Source organism: Homo sapiens, chromosome 5 (assembly GCF_000001405.40).
Source record: "Homo sapiens chromosome 5, GRCh38.p14 Primary Assembly".
Lineage (NCBI taxonomy): Eukaryota > Metazoa > Chordata > Mammalia > Primates > Hominidae > Homo > Homo sapiens.
Genome location: NC_000005.10, coordinates 134,280,708 through 134,298,076, shown reverse-complemented (window position 1 = coordinate 134,298,076; position 17,369 = coordinate 134,280,708). Strand labels below are relative to the sequence as shown.

Below are 17,369 nucleotides of genomic sequence, written 5' to 3'. Positions count from 1 at the left end.
CTGTAATCCCAGCTACTCAGGAGGCTGAGACAGGAGAATCGCTTGAATCCGGGAGGCCAAGGTTGCAGAGAGCCAAGATCATGCCATTGCACTCCAGCCTGGGAGATAAGAGTGAGGCTCTGTCTCAAAACACACACACACACACACACACACACACACACACACACACACACACACACACACACAAACTATTCATGGTTGGGCACAGTGGCTCATGCCTGTAATCCAGCACTTTGGGAGGCTGAGGTGGGCAGATCACCTGAGGTCGGGAGTTTGAGACCAGCCTGACCAACATGGAGAAACCCCATCTCTACTAATAATACAAAAATTAGCCGGGCGTGGTGGCACATGCCTGTAATCCCAGCTACTCGGGAGGCTGAAGCACGAGAATCGCTTGAACCCGGGAGGCGGAGGTTGTGGTGAGCCGAGATCGTGCCATTGCACTCCAGCCTGGGCAACGAGAGTGAAACTCCGTCTCAAAAAAAAAAAAGAAAGAAAAAAAGAAAGAAAAAACTATTCATTACATTACATGGTTAAAAATATGTTCTGTTGGTCAGCAATGAAAGCACTTATTTATAATTTAGCAGCATCTCTGGTCTAAAAATAAAGAAAATATATAATGTTTATAAAATATTTAAAAATAATGTGGTATTCAAATGTTAAATTGTTTTATCTGTGATCTGAGGGACCAAAATAGGTGCCACTTTATCAACTAAGATGGACCCTAACGTTAAGGAAACAAAAATTACCTCTGGGTTGAGGGTTTAGGGCTCAGCTTGCATGACAACTTTCTAAATTCCTAGGCTGTAAGAAAAATCACACTCTTGCTGGGCACGGTGGCTCACGCCTATAATCCCAGCACTTTGGGAGGCCAAGGCAGGCGGATCACCTGAGGTCAGGACTTCGAAACCAGCCTGACCAACATGGCAAAACCCTGTCTCTAGTAAAAATACAAAAATTAGCCAGGTGTGGTGGTGCACGCCTGTAATCCCAGCTACTCGGGAGCCTGAGGCAGGAGAATCACTTGAATCCGGGAGGCAGAGGTTGCAGTGAGCTGGATGGGGCCACTGCACTCCAGCCTGGAAGACAAGAGTGAGACCAAGTCTCAAAAAAAAAAAAAAAAAGAAAAGAAAAGAAAAAGAAAAACCACACTCTTGCTAAACTCCCTAACAACAGGAGCTGTCAGGCAAATTCCTAATCCTGATTTACAACCTAGACTACTACACCTCTGAATGAATAGAGATCCGTGTGTGTGCGTGCGTGTGTGTGTGTGTGTGTGTGTGTGTGTGTGTGTAGAGACAGGGTCTTGTTCTGCTGCCCAGGCTGGTCTTGAACTCCTGACCTCAAGCAGTCCTTTCACCTTGGCCTCCCAAAGTTTTGGGATTACAAGCATGAGCCAGCACGCCTTGACGCAAACATTCTTTCCTGATAAGCAACTATAGACCTTAAGTAAGTTTCAGCCAGTTTATAGAGGCTGCACAAACTGTCTTTATGTCTTATAGTTCACCTTTTGATGTAAAGAGACAAATTCTACCTCATCTTAATGCTTGAAGTCCCATTCCAAAGTGAACATGGGATGTATATTATATTTATATGTGTTTGCCCATTGCACATGTGCTCTGTTCCTCTCATAAATATGTAAAACTTTCCCTGCAAATCTGCTGAATATGTATGACTGTCTTGTGTTGTACAGGCCGTGTAAGGCATAAAACCCAACCTGCTCTTTTCCTCTTTGAAGAGAAAGCACCTTCAGTCCATGCTGGAGATTGTCTTTTCCTGGTTTGCAAACTGGTATCACCAATAAAATTCCTTTTTTCTACTATTTAGCCATCTTGGTGGTCTTTTGGATGACATATTCTCTTAAATAATTGTCAGCACTCAGCTGGGTGTGGTGGCTCACGCCTGTAATCCCAGCACTTTGGGAGGCCGAGGCAGGCAGATCACGAGGTCAGGAGATTGATACCATCCTGGCTAACATGGTGAAACCCCGTCTCTACTAAAAAATACAAAAAATTAGCTGGGTGTGGTGGTGGGCACCTGTCGTCCCAGCTACTTGGGAGGCTGAGGCAGGAGAATGGCGTGAACCCGGAAAGTGGAGGTTGCAGTGATCTGAGATTGTGCCACTGCACTCCAGCCTGGGCAACAGAGCGAGACTCCATCTAAAAAAATAAAAAATAAAAAATTGTCAGCATTCTTCTAGTTTCCTAGTTCCATCTCATAATGCCTTCTATGTGGTACAGACTTGTTCTATTTCATAAAGTATACAATGTACAACCCAGCACTACCAAAATTCTGAATCTTCCTGTTCTTCAAAAAATAATAAAATTGGATTAACTGGTGTTTTACCAGGACTCTACCTCATTTTATATTTACTAAAGAAACATGAAAAACAAAGGAAAACATAACTTATTATAATATTGTGATCTCTGTTAATCTCAAAAAAGCTTGATTAGAATTGATAGCTGAGGACATTATACATAATATACCTTTCTAACAGACTCCCTGGTGGCCTCAGCAACTATTAGGTTGGTGCAAAAGTAATTGCTCCTCTAGGGAAATCAAGAGTTATTCCTGTGGTAGGTTCAACAGGTATAAATCTGCTGATTGCCTGTTGTATTCATATATTTGTTGATCCTTACTCCAGTGTCAAAGATTGTCCATTTTCAGGAGTCAATTTCTACAAAAATGCCTACTGGAATTTTGATGGGCTTGTTTTAAATCTATGCATCAATTTGAGAATGGATATCTTAACAATATCAAGGCCAGGCATGGTGGCTTGCACCTGTCATCCTGGCATTTCAGGAGGCCGAGGCAGGCAGATCACTTGAGGTCAGGAGTTGAAAGCAGCCTGGCCAACATGGTGAAACCCTGACTCTACTAAAAATTTAAAAAATTAGCTGTATGTGGTGGTAGGCACCTGTAATCCCAGCTACTTGGGGGAGGCTGAGGCAGGATAATTGCTTGAACCCAGGAGGTGGAGGTTGCAGTGAACCGAGATTGCACCACTTCACTCCAGCCTAGGCAACAGACTGAGACCCCATCTCAAAAAAAAAAAAAAAAAAAAAGAAAAAAAAATCAAGTCTTCCAATTCACGAGCATGATACAAACTCTTTATTTAGATCTTCTCTAATTTTCCTCCTCAATATTTTATAGTTTTCTGTAGCAATCTGATACATCATTTGTTAAATTTATTTTTATATATTTTGGTTTTTGATGCTGCTGTAAATGGTATTGCTTTTTAAAATCTCATCTTCCAGTTATTTGTTGCTAATATACAGAAGTACAATTTGTTTTTCTGTGTTGATCTTGTATCCTGAGACCTTGCTAAATTCACTTATTAGTTCTGGTAAGTTTCTGTTTTTCCTTCTTTCTCTCCTGACTCCCTCCCTTCCTTCCTTCCTACCTTCCTTTCTTCTTCTCCTTCATCTTCTTTGTTTATTCTTAGGATTTCCTATATAAATTGGCCTATATAGGATGCCTTCCTATATAGGCAATCATGACATCTGCAGATAATAATAGTTTCGCTTCTTCTTTTCCAGTGTTTATGCCTGTGTTACTTTTTCTTGCCTTATTGCACTGGCTGGTATTTGTGATACAATTTTGAGCAGAAGTCATGACAGTGGACATTTGCTTTTTTCCTGTAGCAGAGGGAAAGCATTTTTATTCCACTAAGTATGATGCTAGCTATAGGTCTTATGTAGATTACCTTTATTAGATTGAGGAAAGTTCCCTCTTTTCTAGTTTCCTGAGAGTCTTTACCATGAATGGGTGTTGAATTTTGTCGAATGCCCTTTCTTCATCTACTTAGATGGTCTTATGATTTTCCTCCTTCATTCTGTTAATGTGAATTATATTAATTGAAATTTGAATGTTAAACCAACCCTACATTCCTGGGATTAAAATCCATTTGATTCTTTTTATGTATTATTGGATTCAATTGATAAATATTTTATTTCATTTATTTTTTCGAGACAGAGTCTTACTCTGTGGCCCAGGCTGGAGTGCAGCAGTGTGATTATAGCTCACTGTAATCTTGAACTCCTAGGCTCAAGCAATCCTCCCACCTCAGTCTCCCAAGTAGTCACTGCAGCCATGTGCCCCATGCCCAGCTAATTTTCATTTTCTTATTTTTGTTGAGATGGAGTCTTGCTTTGTTGTCCAAGCTGGTCTTAAACTCCTGGCCTCAAGCTGTCCTTCTGCTTAAGCCTCTCAAAGGCTGGGATTATAGGCTGAACCACTGTACCTGGCCTATTTTATTTAAAAAATTTTTTTTTGTAGAGACAAGTTCTTACTCTGCCACCCAGGCTGGAATGCAGTGGCACAATCATAGCTCACTGCAGCCTTGAACTCCTGGGCTCAAGCCGCCCTCCCAACTCAGCCTCCCAAGTAGCTAGGACTACAGGTGTACACCGCCATATCCAGCTAATATTTAAATTTTATTTTTGTAGAGTCAGGGTCTTGCTATGTTGCCCCAGCTGGTCTTGAACTCCTGGCCTCAAGTGATCCTCCCACCTCGGCCTTCCAAAGCACTGAAATGGTTAATATTTTATTAAGGATTTTGGCATCTATATTAATGAAGGATTTTGGTTCATTTTTTTCTTGTATTGTCCTTGTCTAGTTTTATTATCTTTGTTAATGTTGCTTATAAAATGAATTAGGAAGTATTCTCCTGCCCCCCAGCACTCCCCCATTTCCTGAATTTGTGTAGGATTGATTTTATTTCCTCCTTAAATGTTTGTTAGAAATTGGCAGTGAGAGGCCAGGCGTGGTGGCTCACACCTGTAATCCCAGCATTTTGGGAGGCCGAGGCGGGCAGATCACCTGACATTGGGAGTTTGAGACCAGCCTGACCAACATGGAGAAACCCCGTGCCTACTAAAAATACAAAATTAGCTGGGCGTGGTGGCGCATGCCTGTAATCTCAGCTACCTGGGAGGCTGAGGCAGGAGAACTGCTTGAACCTGGGAGGCAGAGGTTGTGGTGAGCCAAGATCATGCCATTGCACTCCAGCCTGGGCAAAAAGAGTGAAACTCCGTCTCAAAAAAAAAAAAAAAAAAAAAAAAAAAAAAAAAAAGAAATTGGCAGTGAGGCCAACAGGGCCTGGAGTTTTCACTGTGAAAGGATCTTAATATACAAATTTAATTTCCTTACATTTATTTAATAGAGATATTCAGATTTTCTTTTCTTCCTTGTATCCATTTGTTTGCTTCTTTCAAGGAATAGATTCATCCCAACTAAGTTGCTGGTTGTATTGACATAAAATTGTTTAATATTTTCCTTTGTTATCATTTTTAAGTTGGTGGATCTATGGTGATGTTCCCTTTATCATTCCTGTTATTGATAATTTGTGTTTTCTCTCTTCCTTTTTTTTATTAGTAAGTCTAGATAGAGGTTTATCAACTTTGCTAATCTTTTCAAAGAACTGCTTTTTGTTTTATTATTTCTATTGTTTGTTTTCTATTTTATTGAGTTATGTTCTTATATTTATTATTTCTTCTTTCTATTTATTTTGGTTTTAATTTGCTCTTCTTTTTCTAGCTTCTGAAGGTGGAGGCTGCGGTCATTGATTTGAGACCTTTCTTTTCTAATATGAGCATTTAAAACTTTAAATTTCCTTTTATAGCTGCTTCCTACAAATTTAAATGTTGTTATCCTATCATCAGTGAAAGTATTTCCCAACTTTCTTTTTTATTTTTTATTTGATCCATTTATTTAGAAATCTGTTTTTAATTACCATCTATTTGGAGGTGTTCCAAATATCTTTCTGTTACTGATTTTTAATTCAATTTCAATGTGGTCAGAGAATATACTCTATATTATGTTAATCCTTCTAAATCCATTGATTCTTGTTTAATATCCTAGCATATGGTCTATCTTAGTGAATATTTGTGCTTGAGAAGAATGTATATTCTGCTGAAAATGGGTGTAGCATTCCATAAATGTCAATTAGGTCAAGTTGGTTGATGGTGCATTTAAATATCATATCTTTACTGATTTTCAGTTTACTTTTTGAATCAATTGCTGAGGGAAGACTGTTGAAATCCTCAATTATAATCGTGGATTTGTCTGTTGCTCTTTTCATCAGTTGCTTTATGTATTTTGAAGCTCTATTATTAGCTGCATATATATTTAGAGCTATAATATTCCTGATAAAATTCACCCTTACCTGTTATCACATGCCTGAAAACAGTTGTTTTATATATTTTATACAGTTTTATTATTATTTAAGGTAAAGCTGATACGTGTTACTCCAACATGGCTATCACTAGAAGCTCAGTTAAAGAGTTCCTTTTTTTTTTTTTTGAGATGGAGTCTTGCTCTGTCACCCAGGCTGGAGTGCAATGGCATGATCTTGGCTCACTGCAACCTCTGCCTCCCAGGTTCAAGCGATTCTCCTGTCTCAGCCTCCCAAGTAGCTGAGATTACAGGTGTACGCCACCATGCCCAGCTACTTTTGTATTTTTAGTAGAGACGAGGTTTCACCATATTGGCCAGGCTCGTCTCGAACTCCTGACCTCAGGTGATCTATCTGCCTGCCTCAGCCTCCCAGAGTGCTGGGATTACAGGCGTAAGCCACTGTCCCCAGCCTGGTTAGTTTCTCTTAATAATAGTTTGATGAATCTGTAAACAATGGGAAAGCAAGAGATATGATGTTTCGTAGTTCACACATTTGGGTTCACTTCTTAGACCTCTTCTCTTTTTTGTCTATACTCCCCAGGTAATTTTATCCAGACACATAACCTTGAATACCATTTATATGCTGATGATTCTGAAATCTCTCCTTCCAGCCTGGACTTCACCCACAAACTCCAAACTCAGATTTCCAATTACCCATTCAACAGCTATATTAAAATATATAATAGGTATCTCAAACTTAACATATCCAAAATTAAAGTCCTGATCTCTTCCTCACTCCATATGCTTCCTTGAGTGTTTTCTGCATGTTAGTTAAGGGTAACTCCATTCTTCTAATTGCTCAAGAGAAAAATCTTGGAGTAATCCTCAACTCCTCTCTTTTTCTTATACCCTACATCATCCTTTCAGCTCTATTTTCAAAATATTTCCAGGATTTGACCACCTTATACCCCTTCACTGCTATTCACAACATCTCTTGTCTGGATTTTGTAGAAGTCTCCTAACTGATCTCCTGCCTTCACCTCTGTTCAACCTTCAGTTTCTTGTTCTTCAGTTTCTTCAGTTTCAATGCACTGCCTGGGTGTTCTTAATAAAACTTAAGTCAGATTGTGTGTGGTGGCTCACACTTATAATCCCAACACTTTGGGAGGCTGAGGTAAGAGGATCCCTTGAGGCCAGGAGTTTGAGATCAGCCTGGGCAATATAGCAAGACCCCATCTCTACAAAAAAATTAAAAAAAAAAACTTAAATCAGATGATGTCATTGCTCTGCCCAAAACCCTCATGGCTTCCCACTTCACTCAGAGTAAAAGCCACAGACATCACAATAACTTACACAGCCCTACACAGTATGCCTCTCCCCTTCTTTGACACCATTGATTATTTTCCTCCCTATTGCTCATTCTGTTCCAGGCCCACTGGCCCCTTTGCAATTCCTGCAGCACAATGGTTATGCTTCTGCCTTAGAAACTTTGCTCTTGCTGTTTCCTTTGCCTAGAAAATCTCTTTCCTCATGCATCTACACGATTTCTTTCTTCACCTCCTTCCAGTTCAAGACAAACCCTTTTTTTTTTTTTTTTTTTTTTTTTGAGACAGAGTCTCACTCTGTCACCAGTCTGTAGTACAGTGGCGCAATCTCGGCTCACTGCAACTTCCCGACTCCCTGGTTCAAGAGATTCTCCTGCCTCAGTCTCCCGAGTACCTGGGATTACAGGCATGTGCCACCATGCCCAGCTAATTTTTGTATTTTTAGTAGAGATGGGGTTTCACCATGTTGGCCAGGAGGGTCTTGATTTCTTGACCTTGTGATTTGCCTGCCTCAGCCTCCCAAAGTGCTGGGATTACGGGTGTGAGCCACTGCGCCTGGCCAAGGCAAAGTTTTAACGTCTTGTTCACTGCTGTATTCTCCATGCTTAGAACAATGCATAACATATATTGGCACACATTAACATTTGCTCTGTGACGAATGAATGGATTTATTAAGCACTCCACATAGTAAGTCACTTGAGGAAAAAAAACAGAAGAATGAAATATAATTTTACCGGTGGGGTAGAATATGCACTGTGTATCATGTTAGTATTAATTTCATTTTCTGGATAACAGTACTTTGTATTGATTGTTTCCAGTAGCTGTTACATGGTCTGTATGCCCCTCTTGCTCAAGAGAGTGAGGATGATCCTGAAATTCTCTTCGAAGTCAGATTATCATAGTCTCCTCCAGAGGGAGCCCACAGTCCAGCATTTTCAAGAGCTGGAGTCACCCTCTGACCCTAACAGAGGACAAGCCATTTGGTCTCCTGTTGGACGAACTAATGTATGAAGATGGGGTGCTAATACAGCTGTGCTTTTTGGTCTAAATCCCCTAGATGAGAAATGCAACAAAAGTGCAAGCTAGGAATTTGGTTTCCTCCAAAGTCTCAGGACATTTCAAACCAAGACCTAGATTATACACATTTCAGGCAACATTTACTCTTGGGCATCTCTGAGTAATTTCTTTGTGGCTACTCATTATTACATTGAACAGTATTATTATAATGTTAAAAGCATCTGATGCCTCATGAAATTACTTTAACAACAGGATTTATTATATAATAATTCTGCCATCAATATTGTTGGATTCCTTGGATTGTTGTTGAGTTTGGAAAATTGGTTTCTTTAATTTCTCTCTATTCTTCAAACAGAAAATGTGATGGTATCAGAATATTTATTGAAAGTGTACCTGCAAACTCCTGGGGATTTTTTCTTTTCTTTTTCTTTCCTTTTTTTTTTTTTTTTTTTTTATGAGACAGGGTCTTGCTCTGCTGTCTAGGCTGAACTACAGTAACATGATCATAACTTACTGCAGCCTCAAATTCCTGGGCTCAAGCAATCCTCTTGCCTCAGCCTCCTGAATAGTTGGGAGTACAGGTGTTCACCACCATGCTGGGCTCATTTTTAAATTTTTCATACAGACAGGGCCTCACTATATTGGCCAGGCTGGTTCTTTAAAAAAAAAAAAAGTTTATTGAACAAACATTCCATTTTTATTTAAAGTCACATATTATGAGAGTCCAGATTAGTATCAGATTACCTGAGTTAGAAGGCAGATGCTTTTATCACCTCTTCATTGGAAACCTGTTTGGTGCTTTGCTGCCTCAGTTTTCCCAGCTGGATAATGGGGACAAAATAGCTTATCCTAGAGATATTGTGAGGACTCAAGGTTTAACACACACAGGACACAGTGGGTTTGTAGTGATGAAATTTAGTAGTTCACTGGGTCTCTGTGTCTTCTTCAAGGATGAAGAATTATGGTCTTTAAGTTTTGTTATGCGAGTTATCTGAGTTTATCCTGACTTAATTCCCTTTGGGAATAAATTAGGTCTGAAAGTGTCCTCTACTCTTGTTGCATACTGCCTGTGAAACTCCTAGGGTATCTGTGCACTGGTCACCATTTATTTAGACATAAAGTTGGCATGAGTTATCTGTTCTGCAGGCATAAAGTGTTTCATTAAATACAAGAAAAAACATGGCATTTACAGTTTTAAAAGAGAGCTGTATAATGTGTCCGCTATTGTGGTTTGGAAGAAAATTAATCTCTGGAGACCCAGTTAGAGTTGTACCATGTCAAAAAAGAGATACTAGTACTGTAATTCTTTTCCACCCTGAGAAAAGCAAGTTTAGCTCAACACTTTCCAACTTTTATCATTTGGGGTTACATTGGATTTTCTCAGAGTTTTTGAGTGTTAGTGGAGTTTTAAAAGTAAAGTTACAGGCCAGGCTTGGTGGCTCATGCCTATAATCCCAGCACTTTGGGAGGCCAAGGCGGGCAGATCACCTGAGGTCAGGAGTTCGAGACCACCCTGACCAACATGGAGAAACCCCATCTGTACTAAAAATACAAAATTAGCTGGGTGTGGTGGCACATGTCTGTAATCCCAGCTACTCGGGAGGCTGAGGCAGGAGAATCACTTGAACCTGGGAGGCAGAGGTTGTGGTGAGCTGAGATTGCACCATTGCACTCTAGCCTGGGCAACAAGGGTGAAACGCCATTTCAAAAAAAAAAAAAAAAGTAAAGTTACAAACATAGCTGTGGTAAGGTGTCGAGAAGATGAGTTACTGGTTAATTTAGGCAGATCCAGGTTTTATGGAAGCTGATACTTTTAAATGAGGGCTCTTTTTGAGGAGGAAACACAAAATTTCAAAGGCAAAATTAGAAGGGCTGTTTCCATGGCTTTGGGTGCAGCCTGTGCAAGTGAGGGACTACATTGGCTTTCAATAAATATGCCTCTGCTGATAGGATTGCTCCTATTTGGTTCTCCATAGCCACCAAAACTCATGCAAACAAGTAGGTTATGGCAATGGCAGTGGCAGGGGCAGCTGAATTGGCAATCAATTGGCTAGGTCTTGAAATCTGTTGGGTAGCATCCATGTGATGATTGGGAGTCTTGGCTCTAAGTCCTTTGACCACGTGAAGTTGTCATAAGTGAAAGGGGATACAACTGGTTGCTCAGTGGGTTGCTGCTGTGTGGCACTCATTACCTTTCCTTTGGAAGAAGGAACACAGAATAGAGTCACAAGGATAGGGAACACTCTCTTGTGTTTAACACCCCTTGAAGAATAAAATTAAAATTCGATCCATTAAATAATTGAGTCAGGGTTCTGTTTTCACCAGAGTAATAAAAACTTGCTTTTGATGGGCACCAGTTATCACCTAATTGTCAAATTCAGTGACTTTTAAAAAATCCTTATTTTTCCTGATCTTTGTGTCACATTTCACACTATGAATCATCTTTTCCTCCTCAAAGCGCGCCTTCTTTTTTGTCACATGTCATCATTTTCTTCTTAATTCTAAGTGCTTTTCTGTTCTACTGATAATTTTTCTTCCTACCTGTTTCCCTGGCAGTTCTTAAGGCCTCCACTCTTCCCTGTTCCTTGAGAGAAGTATGTTACTCTTATAGCTTGGCTACCACCTCTGAGGGTATTTCTCCAAAATTTGTAGTTCTTCCACAGACATTTACCTGAAGCTACAGTCTCTATATGTTTGCTAAATGTTTCCACTTTATCATTTTGCTGTTTCTTCAGCCTTACTGATAGGGTTTGGCTGTGTCCCCACACAAATCTCATCTTGAATTCCCACGTGTTGTAGGAGGGACCTGGTGGGAGGTAATTGAATCATGGGGGCAGGTCTTTCCTGTGCTGTTCTCATAATAGTAAGTCTCATGAGATCTGATGGTTATTACAAGGGGGAGTTTTCCTGCACAAGCTCCCTCTCTTTTTGCATGCTGCCATCCATGTAAGACATGACTTGCTGTTCCTTGCCTTCCACCATGATTGTGAAGCCTCCCCAGCCATGTGGAACTGTAAGTCTAATAAACCTCTTTCTTTTGTAAATTGTCCCGTCTCAGGTACGTCTTTATCAGCGGCATGAAGACAGACCAATACAGTGAATTGGTACCAGTAGAGTGGGGCATTGCTGAAAAGATACCCAAAAATGTGGAAGCAACTTTGGAACTGGGTAACAGGCAGAGGTTTGAACAGTTTGGAGAGCTCAGAAGAAGACAGGAAAATGTGGGAAAGTTTGGAACTTTCTAGAGACTTGTTGAATGGCTTTGACCAGAAGCTTGATCATGATATGGACAATAAAATCCAAGCTGAGGTGGTCTCAGATAGAGATGAGGAACTTGTTGGGAACTGGAGCAAAGGTGACTCTTGTTATGTTTTAGCAAAGAGATTGGCAGCATTTTGCCCCTGCACTAGAGATTGTGGAACTTTGAACTTGAGAGAGGTGATTTAGGGTAACTGGTGGAAGAAATTTCTTTTTGTTGTTGTTGTTTTTTTTCTTTTTTGAGACAGTCTCACTCTATAACCAGTCTGGAGTGCAGTGGCATGATCTTGGCTCACTGCAACCTGTGCCTACTGGGTTCAAGTGATTCTCCTGCCTCAGCCTCCTGAGTAACTGGGACTATAGGCATGTGCCACCACACCCACCTAATTTTTGTATTTTTAGTGGAGACGGGGTTTCACCATGTTGGCCAGGATGGTCTCAATCTCTTGACCTCGTGATCCACATGCCTTGGCCTCCCAAAGTGCTGGGATTACAGGCATGAGCCACTGCACCCAACTGGTGGAAGAAATTTCTAAGCAGCAAAGCATTCAAGAGGTGACTTGGATGCTATTAAAGGCATTCAGTTTTATAAGGGAAGCAAAGCATAAAAGTTCAGAAAATTTGCAGCCTGACAATGCAATAGATAATAAAATCCCATTTTCTGAGGAGAAATTCAAGCCAGCTGCAGAAATTTGCAAAAGCAATGAGGAGCTGACTGTTAATCCCCAAGACAATGGGGAAAATGTCTCCAGGACATGTCAGAGACGTTTGCGGCAGCCCCTCCCATTACAGACCCAGAGGCCTAGGAGGAAAGGCCCAGGGTCCCCATGCTGTGTGCAGCCAAGGGACTTGGTGCCCTGTGTCCCAGCTGCTCCAGCCATGGCTGAAGGGGGCCAATGTAGAGCTTGGCCTGTGGCTTCAGAGGAGCAAGCCCCAAGCCTTGGCAGCTTCCCTGTAGTGTTGAGCCTGTGAGTGCACAGAAGTCAAGAATTGGGGTTTGGGAACCTCCGCCAAGATTTCAGAAGATGTATGGAAATGCCTGGATGTCCAGGAAGAAGTTTGCTGCAGGGGTGGGGCCCTCATGGAGAACATCTGCTGGGGTAGTGCAAAAGGGAAATGTGGGGTTGGAGCCCCCACACAGAGTCCCTACTGGGGCACCACCTAGTGGAGCTGTGAGAAGAGGGCCACTGTCCTCCAGACCCCAGAATGGTAGACTCACTTGTTACGGGAAGTCAGGGGCCCCGAACGGAGGGACCGGCTGAAGCCATGGCAGAAGAACATAAATTGTGAAGATTTCATGGACATTTATCACTTCCCCAATCAATACTCTTATAATTTCCTATGCCTGTCTTTAATCTCTTAATCCCATCATCTTCGTAAGCTGAGGATGTATGTCGCCTCGGGACTTTGTGATGATTGCGTTAACTGCACAAATTGTTTGTAAAACGTGTGTTTGAACAATATGAAATCTGGGCATCCTAAAAAAGAATAGGATAACAGTGGTTTTCAGGGAACAAGGGAGATAACCATAAGGTCTGACTGCCTGTGGGGCCAGGCAGAACAGAGTCATATTTCTCTTCTTGCAGAAAGCGAATAGGAGAAATATTGCTTAATTCTTTTCCCAGCAAGGAATAACCCTGGGAAAGGAATGCCTTCCCAGGGGGAGGTCTCTAAAATGGCTGCTCTGGGAGTATCTGTCTTGTGCAGTTGAAGATAAGGGATGAAATACGCCCTGGTCTCCTGCAGTGCCCTCAGGCTTGCTAGGATTAGGAAATTCCAGCCTGGCGAATTCTAGTCAGACCGGTTGTCTGCTCTTGAACCCTCTTTCCTGTTAAGATGTTTATCAATGACACTGTGTGCCCAGCAGGACATGGAACCTCATCAGTAATTCTAATTTCACCTGGCCTTGTAATCTTGCTCTGCCTCTCTGCCCTTGTGATCTTTTATTGCCCTTTCAAGCATGTGATCTTTGTGACTTACTCCCTGTTCGTATCCCCCTCCCCTTTTGAAATTCCTAATAAAAGCTTGCTGGTTTTGCAGCTCAGGGGGCATCACGGAGCCTACCAATAGGTGATGTCACCCCCGGAGGCCCAGCTGTAAAATTTCTCTCTTTTGTACTCTTTCTCTATTTCTCAGACAGACCAACACTTAGGGAAAATAGAAAAGAACCTACGTTGAAATATTGGGGGCTGGTTCCCCCACTATTCACTGACTGCTTGCACTGTGTGCCTGGAAAAGCTGCAGACACTCAATGCCAGCCCATGAAAGCAGCCAGGAGGGAGGCTGTACCCTGCAAAGCCATAGAGGTGGAGCTTCCCATGACCATGGGAACCCACCTCTTGCATTAGTGTGACCTGGATGTGAGACATGAAGTCAAAGGAGATCATTTTGGAGCTTTAATAATTGACTGCTCCACTGGATTTTGGATTTGCATGGGACCTGTAGCCCCTTTGTTTTCGCCAATGTCTCCCATTCAGAATGGCTGTATTTATCCAATGCCTGTACCTCCATTGTATCTAGGAAGTAAATAACTTGCTTTTGATTTTATAGGCTCATAGATGGAAGGGACTTGCCTTATCTCAGATAAGGCAAGTGGACTTTTGAGTAGACTTTTGAGTTAATGCTGAAATGAGTTAAGACTTTGGGGGACTGTTGGGAGGGCATGATTTATTCTGAAATGTGAGGATATGAGATTTGGGAGGGGCCAGGGGTGGAATGATATGGTTTGGCTGTGTACCCACACAAATCTCATCTTGAATTCCCATGTGTTGTGGGAAGGACTTGGTGGGAGGTAATTGAATCTTGGAGGCAGGTTTTTTCCATGCTGTTCTTGTGATAATAAGTCTCATGAGATCTGATGGTTATTACAAGGGGGCGTTATCCTGCACAAGCTCTCTCTTTGCATGCTGCCATCCACGTAAGATGTGACTTGCTGCTCCTTGCCTTCCACCATGATTGTGAAGCCTCCCCAGCCATGTGCAACTGTAAGTCCAATAAACCTCTTTCTTTTGTAAATTGTCCAGTCTCAGGTATGTCTTTATCAGCAGCGAGAAAACAGACTAAAACACTTACCATATCTAAACTGTATTAATTTCTCCCCAAACCATCTTTCTCTCTTAGCTTTTCTTGTTTTTAAAAGTAGTACTATTGTTTTCCTTGGCTTGAAACTTGGCATTAACTTAATTTTTTCAGCTTCCATGTATCTGATAGCCATTCAGTCATCAGGCCTACTTGACTTACTCTAACAAATTTTGATCCTCCCAAATTGTATTAATTTTTCATGTTTAAGCTTATGTAGTCTTCCTTGCGTGACCTGGACTCTTCCTATGAAAGGCAATCTCCTTTTTTTCTAGGTTCCCATATTCCATTGTTTATACTATGTTTTACATCCTGCTTTGTGATGCTAGTTACCTCTTAATTTGTGTGTGTCATCAACAAAACTATTAGTTCTTGGAAGTTAGAGTTGTCAAACCGTTATCACCCAACCCCCAGTGCCTTTATATGATTATGTACCTTAATGTGTATGGAACAAATAATTTAAATTCAAAATGACCTTGGTAGTTTGGAGACTTATTGAAGAATTAAGGAATAATGTTAAAAATGATCAGTAATACTGAACCCGGGAGGCGGAGGTTGCAGTGAGCCGAGATCGTGCCACTGCACTCCAGTCTGGGTGACAGAGCGAGACTCCATCTCAAAAAAAAAAAAAGAAAGAAAGAAAGAAAAAGCAATCTACTTTTTCATTTCTGGAAATATGTGTGGTGGGTATCTGATTAAATGTATACTGCATATCCTGAAAAACTCCAATTGTGAAACCTCTCATCAAAGGCCCAAAGTTACTGGTGGTTTAGAGCACTGGTTTGAACAGGTCACCCAGGTGGAAGGAGATAAACCTAGTAAGCAAGTTTGGAAGTTATGTTGGAGACTGTGCATGAAGTCGAGCCTGTAAAAAGTGTTACCCTAAGTAAAGAGTGAATTAGAAAAAAAACCTACTCCTCAAAAAGAGGAGGCAGAAGAATTGCTTGAACCCGGGAGGCGGAGGTTGCAGTGAGCTGTGGAACCACTGTACTCCAGCCTGGGCGACAGAGCGAGACTCCATCTCAAAAAACATGTATATACATTAGGACACAGAAATAGTGAAAATATATGTTAGAAAAGATATAACAGGCAAACAGGGAAAAAAGTTAGTGTGGCTCTATATTATCAGGAAAAACAAATTATAAAGCAAAAAACTTACTGTACATAAAGAGGGACACTACATATGATTATTTAATTCACTGAGAAGGCATAAAAGCCAAGAAGTTTTTGCACCAAAATATATAAAGCATAAATTTAGTGAACATGAGAACTTGAAGAATCCATTATCATAGCATGATATTCTTAATACTTCTCTTTCAGTAACTGACAAGGAAACAAAGAAAAAGTATGGATGCGGATTTGAATAACACAATATTTAAGTTTGATTTAATATATAAGAAAACACTTTGCCCCAATATGAAAAATAACCCATATAAACCCATCTATATGATTTTTTTTTGAGACACTGTTTTGCTGTGTTGCCCAGGCTGGAGTGCAGTGGCATGATCTTGGCTCACTGCAACCTCTGCCTCCTGGATTCAAGTGATTCTCCTGCTTCAGCCTCCCAAGTAGCTGGGATAACAGGCATGCACCATGATGCCTAGCTAATTTTTGTATTTTTAGTAGAGACGGGTTAGTCATGTTGATGAGGCTGGTCTCGAACTCCTGACCTCAGGTGATCCACCCACCTCAGCCTCCCAAAGTGCTGGGATTACAGGTGTGAGCCACTGCGCCCGGCCCCATATATACGAAATTTTAAAAAATACTTTCTGAAGGTGTCAAAGAAGAAATAATAATGGAAATTAGATAATAATTTCCATATAATAATACATAGAAAATGATAATAAAATAATACATAGAAAATGATAATAAAAATGCAGTCTCAAAACATATGGCGTAAGATACTTATGCTTCTAGATATGATAGTTTGCAACAAAATTAAACATCCACTGAGAACCACTAAAGCCAGGTGAAATGCAAGAAATTTCTGTTTAAAGGCAGAGAGCTGATGATGTAATAGTGATTTGAGGGGATAATTCCAGAGAGTTGAGCTGATGGTTTGCAGTGGCTTTTTCCTGGGGAATATAGACTGATTCTTGAAACAAGAAAAAAACTGAGAATTCAGACTTAGCTCTGGAAGAGGGCCCCTACTACGGTACAGAGAAACTAACAGAACTTTCTAGTAGTTTCATACAGCTAGAGTGACAACATCAGAGACATGAACAGTCTGAACACATAGTTTGTTTCCCCTTCAAGACAGAGTGGAAAGATCTAACCTAAGTATAATTAGGTTCCCATAAGAAGAGGAGAGAGAAAATAAGGCAGAAGCGCTGGCGTGGTGGCTCACGCCTGTAATTCCAGCACTTTGGGAGGCTGAGGCAGGTGGATCACAAGGTCAGGAGTTCGAGACCAGCCTGGCCAATATGGTGAAACCCCATCTCTACTAAAAATACAAAAGTTAGCCAGGCACGGTGGCACGTGTCTGTAGTCCCAGCTACTCGGGAGGCTGAGGCAGAAGAATCGCTTGAACTCGGGAGGTGGAGGTTGCAGTGAGCTGAGATTGAGCCACTGCGC

The 17,369-nt window shown here is 41.2% G+C and overlaps 1 protein-coding gene across 1 annotated transcript in view, besides 1 other annotated feature; it reads left to right on the top strand.

Moving 5' to 3' along the window:
- The window catches only part of CDKL3 (cyclin dependent kinase like 3), an 88,280-nt gene extending 73,548 nt beyond the window's left edge, over positions 1–14,732 (top strand). The window contains exon 12 of the mRNA XM_024446091.2: positions 11,518–14,732. Within this exon, the coding sequence (XP_024301859.1) occupies positions 11,518–11,559 (42 nt within the window). The 3' untranslated portion in view covers positions 11,560–14,732. The remainder of the gene's footprint in view (positions 1–11,517) is intronic.
- Positions 13,292–13,492: a silencer, noted in NCBI's record as "peak5475 fragment used in MPRA reporter construct". NCBI's record gives its function as "represses an SCP1 promoter by STARR-seq MPRAs in K562 erythroleukemia cells {active_cell/tissue: K562}" and the evidence as "EXISTENCE:reporter gene assay evidence [ECO:0000049][PMID:32103011]".
- Positions 14,733–17,369: the final 2,637 nt, after the last annotated feature.